The sequence below is a fragment of the Homo sapiens genome, chromosome 22 (assembly GCF_000001405.40).
Source record: "Homo sapiens chromosome 22, GRCh38.p14 Primary Assembly".
NCBI classification, from domain to species: domain Eukaryota; kingdom Metazoa; phylum Chordata; class Mammalia; order Primates; family Hominidae; genus Homo; species Homo sapiens.
The window spans coordinates 42,860,311-42,879,178 of record NC_000022.11 but is presented as its reverse complement, the minus strand read 5'-3'; the positions used below and the strand labels follow the sequence as shown (position 1 = coordinate 42,879,178).

The following is an 18,868-nucleotide window of genomic DNA, read 5'->3' as shown; positions in this document are numbered from 1 at the left end:
GTTGCCTAGGAGTGGTCCGCAGACCTGAATCGAACCCTCAGCCGGAGAGAGAAGAAGAAGGCCACTGACGGCGTCACCCTGACGGGCATCAACCAGACAGGCGACCAGTCTCTGCCGAGTAAGCCCAGCAGGTGAGTGGGCGCCACCTCCATCCAAAAGAGGCCGTTCCATGGTGGGGGCCCTGGGCAATCTGCATGGTCCAGGGCAGCCCCGGCCTGGACACCTGGGAGGTTCCTGGGCTCCTGAGCTCTGTGGGCCGTGGCCCAGCCTGGACACCTGGGAGGTTCCTGGGCTCCTGAGCTCTGTGGGCCGTGGCCCAGGGGCATCTCCAGGGAAGGTCGTCTTCCTGCCTGGTGCCAGAGCTGCTGACAGATCCAGAGAGGGAGGCTTGGCCCTGAGCTTCAGACCTGAGTGGGGAGGAGCTGATGACAGGGCTGGCATTCATGTCCCCAGGGATAGCACCGCCCTGCCCGGACACTGGTGGAGGTGCCACCCTGGTTCCCTCAGGCAGCTGAGGTCCTGCCGAGGTTCATGCTCACTCTGTATTGTGTGCAGGCGCCAGTCGAGGGAGGGACAGGAGAGGACTGCCAGGCATCTCCTTTCCAAATTACCTCTTCACTAGGAGCATTGGTTATTTCTGACTTAGTCATTGGCTGAAAATGAGAGATATAAGGGTGGCACTGTGGTCATTAGAACCTTCTGGAAAGTGTGTGCTAGAGGAGGTCTTCCTATAGGACCTGCCCACAGGCCTCCATGTGACACTCAGTAATAGTCATTTCATACGGGGGCTTCCTAAGAAGGCTTAGCCCAGGTTCCCTTGGCCTTCCTGCAGCCCCAGGCACTGAAGCCCCCACCCAGGCTCCCCAGCAGGTGTGGCTGTCGTCATTCCGCTGCTTTGCACGCTGTCTGGGCAGGTGGGCTCGGCAGTAAGTGCCTGTCCCAGGGATCAGGCCAGCACCTGTATGCTTGGGGGTGGGAATGGGAAAGAAGAAACACTGCCTCAGAGGAGACCCTGGGGGCCCTGGGCTGGCCAGGGTTGCTGCACAATCCAGCCGCCCCCACCAGTGCCGTCTCACAACAGTCTGCTAGAGAAAGGTGCCAAGGAGGGAGGAGGGCCGGTGAGCTCAGACATGTGGCCTGGATATTGGCCTCCAGCAGGCCTAGGTCAAGTACCACTTGCCAGGCTGAAGTGGATGAGGCAGTTACTGGCCACTCAGGATCACCCTGGTGGCATTGGAGGCATGTCCTCGCCTCCCTTCCTTGGTTCTGGGGTGGTGGGTGCTCAGGCTGAGCAGTCCATCCAGTGCTTTGGGGGCCTGTGCCCTGAGGCCCTGGTCTTGGAAGTAGAAGGTGCTGCTGGCCAGGGTAGCCCGGTCCTAGGATCAGTTACTTGGTGGGGTGCCAGGGCCCTTGGTGCCTGTCTGATTGGATTGCTTGATGGTCTGCCTGTGGTCTTCGTAGTGTGTAACTCAGCTCCCGGCTCCCAGCCCTCAGGCAGAGCTTGGCCCAGATCTCTCTGGTTCCCACACTGGGCCTGGCAAACAGTAGGCAGTTGCACGACTGGATTTTCCCTCTGGAGCACCAAAGGAATCTTCTTTCTATCTAGAAAAGACGGTGCCGCAGGCCCTGGCCCTGATTTTGGAGGCTTCAGCTCCACAGAGCAGAAGAGCGAGCCCTGAACCCCTTAGTAGTCAGGAGGAGGCCGTGTGGGCTGAAGAGCTCAGAGCCCTCTCCCACTCATCCATGGGAGCCGGCCCCTCCCACACTGTCACTCTCAGAGGAGACCCTGAGGGGCTTTTTGACCCCCCCAGCTCACATTGGTGGGAGTCAGGACAGAGGAGAAGCCCTGAACCTGGAAACGACTTTTGCTCCAGCTGTGGCTTGTCACCCGCCCCTGGGCCACCCCAGGGCCCCTGTTCTGGACGGACTGTCTCCAGGTGCAAGGAAGGAAAAGGGAAACCAAGTCCTCTCCTAGGCTCCTGGACCGTGTTTCACAGCTGAAGTATTGCCCGCATTCTGCCATAGTAACCTTTCTGTTGAAACACCACGGTCCCCTCCGGTCACAGGAGGAGCTGATTTGTCTCTTGAGATCCTGCAGCTAGGAGTTGCCAGGACCCTCACGGGCCCCTGCAGAGCTGGGATCCCCTGAAAGCTCTCTCTCTCCATAGCACCCTTAATGTCCCGAGCAACCCCGCCCAGTCTGCGCAGTCACAGTCCAGCTACAACCCCTTCGAGGATGAGGACGACACGGGCAGCACCGTCAGTGAGAAGGACGACACTAAGGCCAAAAAGTTGGTGAACAAATGCTTCCTCTGCTCCCACCGCGCTCACTCTGTCTCTCTTCCTCTCTCTCTGTCCAGGGGTCTCACCCCTCGGCACTCGGCAATGCACGGAGCTCTGCAGGAAGTGGGCACCTGGCGTGCCGCACCCTGGCCCACTACCTGCTCTCTGGCACAGGCTCTCTGGCACCCCCATTCCTCGGGGAGGGCACAGCTAACAATCTTAAGTTGCTTTTTCTCTGTCCTCTGTTAACCCTTCAAGGCCCTAGCAGCACCATGACAGGAAAACAGACAACGCGCAGTCTGTGCTGGGGACTAGAGAGTGAGGCCCCAGGTTGGCCTCTGCTGTGGGCATCTCCAGCCGCCTGCCCCTGGAAAGCCTGTTGATGGCTCAGGATGAGTGTGGATGGCATGAACTCACACTAGCACTGGCTCCACCTGTGCTCCTTCGGAAGGAGCCCTCAGCCCTGAGCCCCAAGGCTCCAGTGCCCTCCCCTTGCGGGGCGGGGGCCTCACACCCTCTGCCGCCCTGTGCTGAGGGCCCTGTGGCCTCCCCTTTCTTGCAGTGTGAGCAGCTACGAGAAGACCCAGAGCTATCCCACCGACTGGTCAGACGATGAGTCTAACAACCCCTTCTCCTCCACGGATGCCAATGGGGACTCGAATCCATTCGACGACGACGCCACCTCGGGGACGGAAGTGCGAGTCCGGGCCCTGTATGACTATGAGGGGCAGGAGCATGATGAGCTGAGCTTCAAGGCTGGTAGGTGGGCTCCCCCAGCATCCAGGGGAGGAGGGCTTCCAACCTGCAGGCTGTGGGCGGTCTTTTTTGTTTTTTAAGTCTGGAAAAGTTCTTGCTAGTTTCACTTGTGAGTCACTGCAGGCCCTTCCCCAGTGCCCTGGCTTCATTGTCAAAAGCAGCCAATTGGCTGGATGTGGTGGCTCATGCCTATAGTCCCAGAGCTTTGGGAGGCCGAGGTGGAAGGATCGCTTGAGCCCAGGAGTATGAGACCAACCTGGGCAAAATGGCAAAACCTGTCTCTACAAAAAATACAAAAAATTAGGCCAGGCATGGTGGCTCACGCCTGTAATCCCAGCACCTTTGGGAGGCCAAGGCAGGCAGATCACTTGAGGTCAGGAGTTCGAGCCCAGCCTAACCAACATGGTGAAACCCTGTCTCTACTAAAAATACAAAAATGAGCCAGGCGTGTGGCGGGGCATCTATAATCACAGTTACTCAGGAGGCTGCGGCAGGAGAATCACTTGAACCTGGGAGGTGGAGGTTGCAGTGAGCCAAGGTCACACCACTGTACCCCAGGCTGGGTGACAGAGCAAGACTTTGTGTCAAAAAAAAAAAATTAGCTGGGCTAATTTTAGTGGCACATGCCTGTAGTCCCAGCTCTCTGGGAGGCTGAGGTGGGAGGATCACCTGAGCCCAGTAGATTGAGGTTGCAATGAATCATGATTGTACCACTATACTCCAACCTGGACAACAGAGCGAGACCCTGTCGCAAACAAACAAACAAATAAATAACCTGGGCAACAGAGCGAGATCCTGTCTCAAATAAATAAACAAACAAAAGTAGCAGATTAGCTGGGCGTGGTGTTGCATACCTATAGTCCCAGCTGCTTGGGAGGCTGAGGCAGAGGATCACTTAAACCCAAGAGGATACAGTGAGCCATGTTCATACCACGTACTCTAGCCTAGAAGAGAGAGCAAGACCCCATCTCTTAAAAAAAAAAAAAAGTAGGCTGGGCATGGTGGCTCACGCCTGTAATCCCAGCACTTTGGGAGGCCGAGGCACACAGATCACGAGGTCAGGAGATTGAGACCATCCTGGCTAAGAGTGTGAAACCCCGTCTCTACTAAAAATACAAAAAATTAGCCGGGCGTGGTGGCAGCCGCCTGTAGTCCCAGCTACTCGGGAGGCTGACGCAGGAAAATTGCTTGAACCCGGGAGGCGGAGCTTGCAGTGAGCCGAGATTGCGCCACTGCACTCCAGCCTGGGCGACAGAGCAAAACTCTTTTTCAAAAAAAAAAAAAAAAGCGGATGCCCAATGCCAAGACTCAGAAATAGTGAGGTGCTGCCAAGCCAGTGCCTGGACTCCTCACCTTGCTGGGCCAAGGCTGTGAATTGCAGGGCACTGGCTAGTCACACAGAAGGGCATCTGGAGAAGCTGTTGGCCAGGACCACCAGGTTCCCCCATATGTAGTCTGGGAGCTGCTAGCCCCGCAGGGCCATGAGAGAAGCCTTTCTCTAGGGGTCCCCAACTGCCAGAGAAGCCCTCAGGAGAGCCACAGCTTTGCCCAGACCCCAGAGTAGCACTTGGCATGCCCCTGGGCCAGGTGGGGCCTTGTCTCAGGCAGCAACTTGTGTGTGTGCACACCTACCTGCCCACACCTACCATGCACACACCAACCCACACACATATCTGTGTTGCTAGGAGCAGAAACCATAGTTTTATAAAACAGCCTGGATCCTGATTACATGTGCTCTGCCTGTGAAGACTTTCTGTGCAATGTCTTTTTCTTCTTTGAATGGTCTTCAATGATAATCTTTTTTTTTTTTTTTTTTAATAGAGACACGGTCTCACTCTGTTAGCCAAGCTGGGTTACAGTGGTGCGATCATAGCTCACAGCAGCTGCAGCCTTGATCTCCTGGGCTCAAGCAGTCCTCCCACCTCAGCCTCCTACGTAGCTGGGACCACAGATGTGTGCTACCACCCCACCCACTATAGGAATCTTTTTTAATGCATTTGCAGTTTACCAAAATGGCTTTTCACATCTTCAATTTGAAAAGTGTTATCTTGTCCGGGCACGATGGCTCACACCTGTAATCCCAGCACTTTGCGAGGCCAAGGCCGAAGGATCACTTGAGGTCAGGAGTTTGAGACCAGCCTGGCCAACATGGTGAAACCCTGCCTCTATTAAAAAATAAAAAAATTATTCAGGCATGGTGGCACACACCTGTAATCCCAGCTACTGGGGAGGCCAAGAGAATCACTTGAACCTGGGAGGTGGAGGTTGCAGTGAGCTGAGATCATACCACTGCACTCCAGCCTGGGTGATGGAGTGACACTCTGTCTCAAAAAAAAAAAAAGGAAAGAAAATTGCTATCTTAGCACCTAAGGAAGCTGGAGTGGCCTAGGGCCAAAGTGGACCCACAGCAACCCAGATTCTTCCCTCTCTTGCCCTCTTTGTGAAGCTCCCCCAGAAGCAGCATCTACCACTCCAAGAGGGAAGCTGGGCCAGAACTCAACCCACACAGGCTGAAGTGTGCCCTTGCCCCTAGGCTACACTTGTGGGAAAGGCTGCCTTACCACCACCACCCCAACCCCTGACTCAGCAGGGAAGCCAGGGCCTGGGGGCTGTGCCCAATGGCCTAGCTTCTAACCAGTCTTCAGCCTCCTCCCCTCAGCACCCAGAGTGCCAGCCTGCTGTCCCCAGACACTCTTCCCCTGGGCTGGTTATCAGCTGCCTCTGCCCAGTTTGAGAAGTTGGGTTTTTTTGTTTTTTTGGATTTTTTTTTAATGTGCCTTTAAGCCATCTTCATCCAGTTTCTGATATCTTTGGTTGGGGTTGTTACCCCCGACTTTGTTGGTTTATTTGTTTATAATTTCTAACTCCTTTTCAATCCTGCCTATTGGGTTTGACAGTAATTTTGTAGATTTAAAATGTTTCTTCCAGATCCAAGTAAATTGTCAAAAGCAAACTGATTGAAATGAACCTTCTAATCACCAGTTCACATTTGCACAATGTGAAAGCTTTCCTGTCCGTTCTATTTTCTGTGTTATCCTGCTTTTTAACAATGCAAAATTAGCTCCCAGCCAGTGTGGCTTGACTTACGTCTCTTGCGGTGTTCTGGCTGTTTGCCACATGGTAGTGTGGGGTTACAGGCCTCATCCTAGCCTCGGTAGCCTGGATCCAGGCCTGTGAGAGCACAGCAACCAATGAAGGCAGGACAAAAGAAACGCCAGGGGCCCGAGGCACGAAGCGGTGGAAAGAGATGGTGGTTCATCGTGGCTGCTGCCCTGTGGCCCCTGCATCTGCTCCTGATGCCTCTGGGTTAGATCTGCAGGCGCACTGGTCTGGCAGAAGCGGCACGACAGTGGGAGGCTGAGCCAGTGCTTACGCATGTCCCACCCTCCCAGGGTTCTTTAGTGTCTTAACACTTAATCTTCACAGTACCCCCAGTCCACAGATGAGGGCCACAGGCCCAGGGAGTGGACGCAGTTGGTCCAGGTCTCCCAGCCAGTGAGTGATGGCTGTGGGATTTGAGCCCAGGCAGTCCGGGGAGCACTGGAAGCCCCAGGTATTAGCTCCGCAGGCATGTTGACCAGCATTGCTGCCATACAAAATCCAAAGCATCAGGGAAATGCTAAACCAGGGGGAAAACTGCATCTAATTCTGAAAAATGGACCAAAAAATGCCAAAGAGAGTTACAAAACTTCAAACTTAGCAATAAAGGCAAAACAGCACTGGGACTATTTCTTTCCCACCAATTGCTTGCTCCTGACGAGGTCCGAGCCAGCAGGCCCAACTGGCCTTCCCTGCAGTGAGTTACCAACCAGAAGCACACAGGCCCCTGCCCACCCCTGGGCTCTGAGCTGCTCTGCTTCCCTAACCTGGCAAATGCCAGACCTGGGGCCCTACCCTAGTGCCACCTCCCCCTCACCACCCTAGTCTGCCTCCTTGAGACCAGGATCCATCAGTTCCTCTCATCTCTGTATCTCCTCTTCTACCCAAGGCCTGGCCAGAAGTAGGAGGTCCTTCAGGTTGGAACAACCAAAGATAAATGGAACCACGTTAATACATTAGAGCCACAGGGAGATTCCAGAACAGCGCCAGGGGCTCCTTCTCAGGGTCTCAGGAAGGGTTGACACATGGCACCGTGCACAAGTCATCAGCCAGGTGCTGGGGATAAAATGACAGGTATGACTGTCAGACATGGTCCCTTCCCCTCGCAGCCTGGAAGTTGCAGAGGAGAGGGATTAGCAAAGGCAGAGAGACCCCAGAGACAGCTGCTGGGAGCAAGGCGGCCGGGGCCCTGGGGAGGGGACAGAAGAGGCCCAACGTGAGGGAGGGGCACAACCGAGGGACGATTCCTGCCACCTGGCCAGGGTGGTGAGGAAGGCACAGCCCTATGGAGCTGGATGCCGCAGTCTCAGTGGGAGCCACTGTGGCAGCTGAGAGCAGCTTGTTCCAAATTACTGTGTGAGACTGTCATCTCTAGGTCTGTCAGAGGCCCATGACCAAAGAGGCAACTTAAAATGCATGCATTTAGTAGAGAAATGACCAGGCCCTCGGCCTGCCCGCCACAGAATGCCTGGCCCTCCACCCTCTGTGGGCTCAAAGCTCGTGAATGCGGCTCTGTAGCCCACCGTCGGTGTCATACCTCTCATGGAGACGGCTCCCTCTTTGTCTTGCAGGGGATGAGCTGACCAAGATGGAGGACGAGGATGAGCAGGGCTGGTGCAAGGGACGCTTGGACAACGGGCAAGTTGGCCTATACCCGGCAAATTATGTGGAGGCGATCCAGTGATGAGTCGGGGACAGGCCAGCGGGGGGACGGAGGCGGCGGGCCCAGGAGCCTCAGCCAGCCACGTGGGCATCCACTCCTTTTCCTGCAAGAGATGATGGTTCCATTGCTCTTGGCTTCATGGTGTTCCTGGAAGGCAGATGAGCTGGTCATTTCGCCTGGGACTCGGCACCTTTCCGAGTGCAGCTGGAGGGATCTGAGCGCAGGAAGACGCAGAACAACAGAAATAGCCGCCCCTCCCCGCCCACTGTGCCTGTTGGCCTATCATAGATCTCTATGTTCTTGACTTTGTCTCTCCTTTCCGAGTCAATGGTGGGTTACACTGATCTTGTTCCACTGATTACTCTCTCTGACGAGTCCATCACCTGCAACTTAAATGAACAAGCTTACATCCCATTTTGAGTGAAGATTTTGAGGTTTTTAATTTAAAGGCTGTGTACAGTTATACTTTTTTATACACCTGTTCATTTCTACTTAAATTATGGCACAGATTGATGCGCACCAGTCTTGAGGAAACGATCTCCCTATTCCCTTACCCTGTTACTCAGCCACGCCGTGTGTAGGCTTAGCCTCAGGTGGCAGATGTTTGAGGAAAGGAATTATGCCAGGAAGGTGGGACCGGGTTATGGTCGGGTTTCTATTGGGAATGCTCTTTGTGCTTTTGGGCATCTGAATGGAAGCTTTACATAGAACCTTAGGTAGAACTCCCCCAAATCGCCATATTTAAAAATTATTTTCACTCTATTCTTGCTTAAAACTGTACTCTTTTGCAAATTAACAATTTTATCACTGATTCAGAGTTAAAAAGAAGACTAACTTTTCAAGCAAATGCATCTGTAAAGATGCTTTAGATTAGACTGTCATGTCTCAGTGTCTATCTGTATATATTATTTGATATTCAGAGAATCTAAAGCACTCGTCTACTGTTTTAATGAGATTTAACAGCTTTTAACAGTGAGTTTCGTTTGTAAACTGCTTGAAGTCTGTGGCATTCAGGCACACGTCTGGCTGGCCGGCTGGGTCTCCTCCCGGGCTCAGTGGGCCTGGGGCCTCTCTGACGTGGTGCCTGCTGGAGGGAGGCTCGTCGTCACCAGCTGACTGCTGGTCCGGCTTCTGACCGGCCTTTGTCCTGGCTCCGTAGCAGAACACTGTAAAAGTGCCCGCGTCTTTGCAGTAGTTGCAGATTTCAGTCGTCGTGTTACTTGTGCACAAACAGAAGCTGGGTCTTACCCGCAGCACGAGTGTCTCGGGCTGCCCGGAGTCGCCCGGGAGCAGGTGCTGCAGCCAGAGTTACGCGGGGGCCACGCGGGCCGGCGGGGGTGGGGGGAACGTGGGGGAACCTGTGTTTCACGTGACTCAGCAGTGCCCGCCGCCGTCACCAGCTATGCATTCACTCCGTTTCCAGTGAGCAGATGTCTTGCTTGGAAAGTGGACCTGTGTCTGTGTCTGTCCTGAGAACTTACCAGCAGAAATCCTCATTTCTGTGCTACGGATTTACCAAAAATTGTCAAGTCTTTTTCAGTTTAACAGTTCCTTTACATGTGTAGTATTTGAGGAAAAAAATCAATAAACAGTTGATCTCGTGCATATGGAAGTCCCTTCGCCATCATCTGTCTTCATGCCCACTTCACTTGGCGGGGGTGGCCTCCCTGGGGCTTACTAGCTTTGGAGCTGGGCAAGATCCAGGGCACAGGACCCCTGCCCAAAAGGCCACGGCCCACTGCCCCTGCCAAACTGGAGGTTGGGGATTTGAGGCACCTGAGCCCCTTGGGGTTCCCTTCTCCCCGAGACCTGCTGCTGTTTGACCTGGGCTTCCACATGGTGCGGGCATCGGCTGGCGCCTCTCTATTGCCCCAGCCCAAACAGCAGGACAAGACTGACATCACCCATAACTCTCCTATGAGCACATTTTCCTGAGCACCTACTGTGTGCTCTCCACTTTTTACTTACATTATCTGCGTCTCCAAACATCTCCACAGGGTATGGGCAAGTCTCCCCATTTCCATTCTACCGAGGAGGAAACAGAGGCTCCAAGAGCCAGCCAGGGTTTCTTGAGGAGTCTCAGCCAGCCCAAAGCACTGAGCGAAATCCCTGAGGAACCACCCCCTCCCTCGCTGGAGAAACTGAGGAGGGAGGAGGCTTGGACTGGCTTGAAGACAGGAGAGAAGCAAGACGTGAGGGCGGCTGTGGCCACGCTCACCGAGCCCTGGGAAGGCTGCCCAGAAAAGCACGCCAGCTGGGCATGGGGCCTCACAGAGCACCTGGGAGGAGCAAGGCAGGCAGCTGCCCCTGCAGTGTGGCTTTGTCCCAGCTCAGCAAGGGTATGGGACAGATCCTTGTCACGCAGCCTCCTTGTCTGAGGGGTGGCGGGTCCCCTGCTCCCAGCTTCTGAGGAGTTGGAGCCCTACAGCGCAGGGCGGACACCCGGCTCGGCCCACAGCCCCAGGCTGCAGAGAAACAGGCAGAACGGGGTTGGGAGGGAAGGTGGGGGGTCAGAAGCAGGCTCCTGGTGCCAGTGGCCTCAGTCACTGCCCAAACACCATGGCAAGACCACGGTCCCCGCTGAGCTGGATGAAGCAACCTCCACTCTGAGGCTGGATCACACGGCCCCCCCCGTGAGAGATCTGGCAGGGCCTCTAACTGCCCATCTTCCCTCTCCTGCCCTGCCCTCAGGGGCCAGCTTGGAAACTTCAGCTTGTCTCTAGGCCTCAGTTTCCCCAAGTAGAAGTGATACTTTTCCAGTTGGAGAGTTAGAGCAAGAAGAAAAGGTGGCCTGGGCAACATAGTGAGACCTTGTCTCTACAAAAAGTTTAAAAATTGGTCGAGTGTGGTGGTGCATGCATCTAGTCCCAACTACTTGGGAGACTGAGGCAGGAGGATTGCTTGAGCCCAGGAATTTGAGGCTGCAGTGAGCCATGATTGCACCACTGCACTCCAGCCTGGACGACAGAGCTCTCGAGACAGTCTCAAAAAAAGAAAAAGGCCGGGCACGGTCGCTCACACCTGTAATCCCAGCACTTTGGGAGGCCGAGGCGGGTGGATCACGAGGTCAGGAGATCGAGACAATCCTGGCTAACACGATGAAACCCCGTCTCTACTAAAAATACAAAAAATTAGCTGGGCGTGGTGCCTGGCACCTGTAGTCCCAGCTACTCAGGAGGCTGAGGCAGGAGAATGGCATGAACCCGGGAGGTGGAGCTTGCAGTGAGCCGAGATCGCGCCACTGCACTCCAGCCTGGGTGACAGAGCAAGACTCCATCTCAAAAAAAAAAAAAAAAAGAAAAACGCCACAGGCACTCAGGAGCTGGTCATTGTCACGATTATGAGTGACACCATAGGCAGGGGCCCAGGGTTCTCTGCTGTCCATGGCTGCCCTTCGCTCCTCCCACAGCCACCACCCTGGATCAGTGCTGCCACCAACTGTCCACACCTCTTCGGGTCCCCAAGGCCCCTGAGTTGACACTAGGGGGAGTGTTAGCCCCAGAGCCCTCTCCTGGGCCAAAGCTACCTGGAGCTCAGGACAGGGGTATTTCATCATCTCTCTCCATCCTTCCCACAACCCAGAAATGTCGGGAGGGTGAGCAAGTGCTGCCAAGTGACCGGAGTAGGGATCTGGCTTTGCTGCAGCCTGAGCTAAAACTGGGCCTTCGGAGGTCCCTGCAGATGGAGAACAGGGCTGACCTCTGCTCTGGGCTCTGATGCCAGATCCTGGTCCACTCAGAAGCATGTAGTGAAGGCCCGACTGGGCAGCCTGGGCTGTGTCAAGGCCTCAGGCACTGGATAGGCCTGGAGGGAACCCGCTCACAAGCCATCGGGATAGGGATGGGGGAGGTTGGGAAGGACTTGTGTGGACCACCTGACCAACCCCCTCATAGTTCATGGGGAAACAGGACAAGTGAGAGGAAGCAGTGACTTCGCCGTGGGCACAGACCATGTGGTTTGGGAAGCTGAGCAAGGCCTGACCCCTGAGTGGCCCAACCTGGTGAGGGATCAGCTGGCTCTCCTTATGTATCCATTGTGCAGTCATTCATTCACCATGCATCTATTGAGCACATACTGTGTGTGAGACTCAGCGGTGCCAGGACAAACATGAAGAGAAGCCAATCTTGCCCTTGGGAAACTCTGGTAGGCTCAGAGAAGGACCTGTGTTATTCTGACACCATGATGGGACAGCCAGAGACAAAGGGCCAGAGTTGTCTTCTGAGAATGTGTGTGCTGGGTTTCAGAAGTCTCAGGCCTCCCAACCCAGGCTCCAAGGCCTCAGAGATCAGAGCACTGCTCAGTCCTTGAGCCGTTCCCCAACTTCCTGTAGGAAGTGTCCCTGAGTCCCCACCTGGGCAGGAGGCTGGACCACAGACAAACGGAAAATGCCTGAGCTTCATTTGCTGAAAAGTAGGGATGACTGGCGGGCACAGTGGCTCATGCCTGTAATCCCAGCAGTTTGGGAGGCTGAGGCGGGTGGATCACCTGAGATCAGGAGTTCGAGACCAGCCTGGCCAACATGGTAAAACCCTGTTTCTACTAAAAATACAAAAAATTAGCCGGGCATGGTGGTGGGCACCTGTAATCACAGCTACTTGGGAGGCTGAGGCAGGAGAATCGTGTGAACCCGGGAGGCGGGGGTTACAGTAAGTCAAGATTGCACCACTGCACTCCAGTCTGGGAAATAAGAGCAAAACTCTGTCTCAAAACAATGACAACAAAAAAACAGGGGTGATGAAGTGAGGATAACTTAAGGGGTGCTCAGAAGCCAAAGACCCTGCCAGGTGGGCACCCCAGCCTGTGGGTGCCCTGTAAGCTTTCCTTCCCCCACCCCTTTTCACAGTCCAAGGTCTCCCCAGAGTGGTGGCTGTCCGCTCTGCTCCCCTCCCTTGTCCACCCTTCCTGAAGCCTCCTCTGAGGCAGGGAAGGTCTGCGCCCCTCCCCAGCCCTTCCACAGACACCTGTGGAAGACAAAGGCCACTCTCTGGGCCTCGGTTTTCCGAATAAATGGGCTGCATCTCTGTGGCCCCTGTGGTGGCAGCAAGCAGAGGGGCCCTCAGGCCAGGACGGAGTCAGCTCCAGGTGCCAGCCAGTGAAAAGAACCAGGGTCAGGATGGAGGTGGCTCCACCACACCTGGGAGGATGTGCCCAAACTGAGCTAAATCTGGCCTCGCCTGCAGTTGAGGTACGAGGCTCATTTCTGGCCAGGCATGACCACCACCAGGCACAGGGTCGGAGGAACCACAGTGCTCATCCTCCCTCTAGCCTGGGTATGTGGCACTAAACCAAAAAGAAAAAAGAAAACGCAACAAATCTGGGACTATCCTATGAAACCCAGATTATATTGTTCTAGGCATCTACAAATCCTTTGTGGAAAGGGCTAGGAAAGGAAGGAAGGAAGAAAGAAATGAACTAAATAAGTGATGTCACTCTTAGGGGAAAGGATACCAGCACCAACGGCCAGTGGACCAAAACTCAGACGCCAGAGGAATACTAGGTGCTAGACCTCCCGAAGGTTGCAGAAACCCAGAGCGCCTTAGGGTTAGGGTTAGGGTTAGGGTTAGGGTACGAGGACCTAAAAGACCCTGAGCTCAACAGCATTCGGATCACCAAGGCAGCCGCCTCAGGGCATGTGAACTACATACAGTCACTGGCCGCTTCTGGGCAAAGACAGCCAGGTGGCCCTGCCACTTTATGGTATTTTCCAATAGGAATCTTAATTATTTTTTCCTGATTGTAAAAGGAACAAAGGCTCAGATGAAAATTTGGAAATTTAGTAAAGGTATTCAGAAAAACATTAGTTATCTGTGATCCTGACTTCCAGAGGTTACATTGCTAACATTGGGGTGTATTTTTTTCTGGTATTTTTCCTAACATATATGCACATGTGCCATTTTCTTTTTTTCTTTTCTTTTCTTGAGGTGGAATTTCACTCTCGTTGCCCAAGGCTGGAGTGCAATGGCACAATCTCGGCTCCCTGTGCCCCCCACCTCTCAGGTTCAACAATTCTCCTGCCTCAGCCTCCCGAGTAGCTGGGATTACAGGTGTGAGCCACCACGCCCAGCCACATGTGCTGTTTTCTTGTCGTCATCATCATCATCAATGTGTGTATGTGTCTTACAAAATTGGGATCGTACTGTAAATATAGTTTCGTTCTCCTGCCATTTGATCATGAGCATTTTCTCATGTCCCTAAATATACTTCAATTAAAAATAAACACCAGACATAGTGGCTCATACGTGTAATGCCAGCACTTTGGGAGGCCGAGGTGGGAGGATCACTTGAGCCCAGGAGTTCTAATCCAGCTTGGGTAACACAGGGACACCCTGTCTCTACCAAAAATAAAAAAAAAATTAGCCAGGCATGGTAGCACACACCTGTAGTTCCAGCTACTCAGGAGGCTGAGGTGGGAGGATCACTATAGCCTGAGAGGTCAAGGCTGCCGTGAGCCATGATTGCACCACTGCACTCCCGCCTGGGAAACAGAGCAAGACCCTGTCTCAAAAAAAGAAGTGAAAGAAGTAGAGGAGGTGGAAGGAGCAACAGGAAAGGCTGGCACACTCAAGTGTAACTTTTATTGAAAAAAATCTGGCTGGGCATGGTGGGTCATACCTGTAATCCCAGCACTTTGGGAGGCCGAGGTGGGAGGATGAGGTCAGGAGTTGGAGACCAGCCTAGCCAACATGGTGAAACCCCGTCTCTACTAAAAATACAAAAATTAGCCAGGCATGGTGGCACACACCTGTAATCCCAGCTACTTGGGAGGCTGAGGCAGGAGAATTGCTTGAACCTGGGAGGTAGAGGTTGCAGTGAGCTGAGATCGTGCTACCACACTCCAGCCTGGGTGACAGAGCAAGACTCCATCTCAGAAAAAAAAAAGAAAAAAATCCACATGTAAGTGGACCCATGTAGTTCAAGCTCAAGTTGTTCATGCGTGAAGTGTACTGTTTAGTGGCCGAATGATACTCATGCTGTAAGTCCCATGTTGCTGAGCATTTGCTTTGTTTCCCATTTTTCTCAGTTCTTAAGGTATAATTTATGTATATACTTTTTTTGTTGTTGTTGAGATGGAGTCTCCCTCTGTTGCCCAGGCTGGAGTACAGTGATGCCATCTTGGCTCACTGCAACCTCTGCCTCCTGGGTTCAAGCGATTCTCCTGCCTCAGCCTCTTGAGTAGCTGGGACTACAGGCACCCACCACCATGCCCAGCTAATTTTTGTATTTTTAGTAGAGGGGGGTTTCACCATGTTGGTCAGACTGGTCTCGAACTCCTGACCTCATGATCCACCCACCTCAGCCTCCCAAAATGCTGGGATTACAAGCGTGAGCCACTGCGCCAGGCCAAAAACACTCCTTTTAGTGTACAGTTCTTGAAGTTTTGATGAATGTATACAGTTATGTAATGTACTAGTCCATTCTCATGCTGCCACAAAGAACTTGCTCAAGACTGGGTAATTTATAAAGGAAAAAGGTTTAATTGACTCACACATCTGCATGGCTGGGGAAGCCTCAGGAAACTTATAATCATAGCAGAAGGGGCAGCAAACACATCCTTCTTCACATGGCAGCAGGAAAGAGACATGCTGAGCAAAGGGGGGAAAACCCCTTATAAAACCATAAGAACTCATGAGAATTTACTCACTATCATGAGAACAGCATGGGGGTAACTGCCCCCATGATTCAGTTACCTCCCACCAGGTTCCTTTCCTGACACATGAGGATTATGGGAACTACAATTCAAGATGAGATTTGAGTGGGACACAGCCAAACCGTATCACATAACCATCACCACAATCAAGATATAGAACTCTTCCGTCACCTCCCCAACACGTGGATTTTTGTTGTCAACCCCTCCTTACACCCCCAGTCCCTAGAAACCACTTAGATGTTTTCTGTTTCTACCTTTTCCAGAATGCCATAAGAATGGAACCGTGCAATATGTAGCCTTGTCTTTTTTCACTTCCCATGACTCATCTGACATTCATCTGTGTGGTTTCATATGTCAGTATTTTGTTTCTTCTTCTTCCTTCTTCTTTCTTCTTCTTCTTTTTTTTTTTTTTTTTTTTTTGAAACGGAGTCTCGCTCTGTTGCCCAGGCTGGAGTGCAGTGGCGTGATCTTGGCTCACTGCAAGCTCCGCCTCCCGGGTTCATGCCATTCTCCTGCCTCAGCCTCCCGAGTAGCTGGGACTACAGGCGCCCGCCACCACACCCAGCTAATTTTTTGAATTTTTAGTACAGACGGGGTTTCACCGTGTTAGCCAGGATGGTCTCGATCTCCTGACCTCGTGATCCGCCCGCCTCGGCCTCCCAAAGTGCTGGGATTACAGGCGTGAGCCACCACGCCCGGCTTTTTTTTTTTTTTTTTTTGAGACAGGGTCTCCCTCTGTCACCCAGGGTGGAGTGCAGTGGTGCAATCTCTCCTCACTGCAACCTCTGCCTCCCGGGTTCATGCGATTCTCATGCCTCAGCTACGTGAGTAGCTGAAATTACAGCCACACGCCACCACCCCCGGCTAATTTTTGTATTTTTAGTAGAGACGGGGTTCTCCCATGATGGCCAGGCTGGTCTCAAACTCCTGGCTTCAAGTGATTTGCCCACTTTGGTCTCCCAAAGTGCTGGGATTCCAGGTGCAAGCCACTATGCCTGGCCTTCTTTTTTTTTATTTATTTTTATTTTTTTACTGACAGTGTCTCGTTCTGTCACCCAGGCTGGAGTGCAGTGATGCAATCATAGCTCACTGCAGCCTTGAACTCCTGAGCTCAAGTGATCCTCCTGCTTCAGCCTCCTGATTAGCTGGGACTACAGGCACGTGCCATCATGCCCCGCTAATTTTTCAATTTTTTGTAGAAGTGGGATCTTGCTATGTGGCCCAGGGTGGTCTCAAACTCCTGGCCAAAAGCCATCCTTCTGCCTCAGCCTCCCAAAGTGCTGAGATTACAGGCATGAGCCACCACACCTGGCCCCAGTAAGTTCATTTCAAATGTATCTGGCCTATACAGAAAGAATATGTCAAAGAGATAGCATTCACTTGTTTTCGCTTGGCACTAAGCAAAGTCCACAGGTGTTGTCTTCCAGGGGCAAGGGACAGGATCTGTGCGTATTCTCACTTGTGATTCATCATATGACTATGTAGCCATGTCTGGTTTCTCTTTAGGGTGGGATTTGGCTTTCAGCAAGCTCCTATTAAACAGTAAATGAACTAAATAAACACAATGCTGCTTCATTTGGCCATAGCTATGCCAGGATCTCTTCATGAAAGACGAACAGCAAAGAGAATTAGAATGCAAATACTCTACAAGACGGACAATACTGGGCTGGGTGGTGGCTCACCCCTGTAATCCCAGCACAGTGGGAGGCCGAGGCAGGCGGATCACTTGAGGTCAGGAGTTCGAGACCAGCCTGGGCAACATGGTGAAACCCCATCTCTACTAAAAATAGGAAAATCAGCTGGGTGTGGTGGCGGGTGCCTGTTAATCCCAGCTACTTGGGAGGCTGAGGCAGGAGCATTGCTTGAACCTGGGAAGCAGAGGTTGCAGTGAGTCAAGATCATACCACTGCACTGGGTGACAGAGCCAGACTCCGCCTCGAGAAAAAAAAAAAATGTGTAGCCCAGGATGCTCAAAGGGTGGGGCCTTCTCAACATTCCCACCATCCTCATGGCAAACCCCTGGATTGTAGAGGGATTCTGCTTCTCTTTCCCCTCCTTTTTTGCATTTGAATTTGGATTACTGGGTTTTATTTCTACCCCTCCCCTGGCAGCAACAGATCTTTGCCCATTCCCTGAGACAGAGAGAATTTACTGCTTTTGCTTTTTTTCTTTCTCTTTTCTTTCTTTTTTTTTTTTTTTTTTTTGTGACGAGTCTCCCTCTGTCGCTCAGGCTGGAGTGCACTGGCTTGATCCTGGCTCACTGCAGCCTTCCCCTCCCAGGTTCAAGCAATTCTCGTGCCTCAGTCCCCAAGTAGCTGGGACTACGGGTGTGCGCCACCACGCCGAGCTAATTTTGTATTTTTAGTAGAGACAGAGTTTCACCATGTTGGCCAGGCTGGTCTCAAATTCCTGACCTCAGATGATCTGCCCGCCTTGGCCTCCCAAAGTGCTGGGATTACAGCCATGAGCCACTGTGCCCAGCCTGCTTTTTTAGAAGAGAAGAGTCCAGAGGAAGCAGGTGGGGTCTGTGCCTGTTCCTGAGCAGCTGGATGCCCACCCCACAGAGAGGTCTCTCTCCGGGCTCTTTGCCAGTCCCCATCTTCCTTGTGAAGTACGGTTTCTGATGGAGGTTTATTAAAAAGGGCTTATGAATGAATGTGAACTCCCTTTGTATCTGAGGCCCCCAGCTAGTCCAAACTCACATGCCAACCTACACTTGGCCTTTAAGACTTCATTAAAATTATAGCCGATTTCCTGTTGCCAACTAGTTTGGCAGTAACCTCTTTCTCCTGCGCTCTGCCAAAGGTGAAGGGGTTCTTGTGTTCTGTCTTTGGAGAGGCTTCTGTTGTCTCTCTTTGGCGCTGAGGTTACTTGGTTGCCTTGCAACCTCAGCTTTCTGATGGGCTCAACAGAAGTTACAATTTGGTAGATTATCCAGCTTTTCTCATTATGATATTGGGAGGGAGAGCCTTTGTAGCTTTCTACATTCTAAGCCCATTCCACAAATCTTTATTGAATGCATACTATGTGCCAGGCATTATTCTAGGTGCTGGGGATAAAGTAGTAGAAAAAACAGGCTGAGCACAGTGGCTCACACCTGTAATCCCAGCACACTGGGAGGCCAAGGCGGGCGGATCACTTGAAGGAGTTTGACACCAGCCTGGCCAGCATGGTAAAACCCCATCTCTACTAAAAATACAAAAATTAGCCAGGCGTGGCGGCAGCTGCCTACAAACAGCTACTCGGGAGGCTGAGGCAGGATAATTGCTTGAATCCACGAGGCAGAGGTTGCAGTGAGCTGAGGTTGCGCCACTGCACTCCAGCCTGGGTGACAAAGCGAGACTCTGTCTCCAAAAAAAAAAAAAAAAAAGTAGAAAAATAGATCTGATTTCAAGAGATTTATATTCAATTGAGGAGAG

At 52.6% G+C, this 18,868-nt stretch overlaps 1 protein-coding gene and 1 long non-coding RNA gene across 12 annotated transcripts in view; one reads left to right on the top strand and one right to left on the bottom strand.

Annotated features, from left to right (window-relative positions):
• Positions 1 to 9,413, top strand: part of PACSIN2 (protein kinase C and casein kinase substrate in neurons 2) — a 145,384-nt gene extending 135,971 nt beyond the window's left edge. For 4 of the 10 annotated variants that reach the window (NM_001349968.1, NM_001184971.1, NM_001349972.1 and 1 more), the window contains 3 exons: positions 10 to 131; positions 2,846 to 3,042; positions 7,710 to 9,413. In NM_001349968.1, the coding sequence (NP_001336897.1) occupies positions 10 to 131; positions 2,846 to 3,042; positions 7,710 to 7,822 (432 nt within the window). In that variant the 3' untranslated portion in view covers positions 7,823 to 9,413. Of the gene's footprint in view, positions 1 to 9; positions 132 to 2,168; positions 2,292 to 2,845; positions 3,043 to 7,709 lie in introns of all 10 variants that reach the window. The other 6 variants (NM_001184970.3, NM_001349969.2, NM_001349970.2 and 3 more) reach the window with 3 other exon arrangements.
• Positions 3,649 to 7,765, bottom strand: LOC101927393 (uncharacterized). Of its 2 annotated transcripts, XR_001755575.2 has the most exons (3): positions 7,676 to 7,765; positions 7,094 to 7,194; positions 3,649 to 6,687 (listed from the first exon to the last, which is right to left on the bottom strand). It is a non-coding gene; the product is annotated as an uncharacterized LOC101927393 (long non-coding RNA). The 2 variants fall into 2 exon arrangements; XR_244440.4 differs by lacking the exon at positions 3,649 to 6,687 and having other exon boundaries at positions 6,720 to 7,194.
• Positions 9,414 to 18,868: the final 9,455 nt, after the last annotated feature.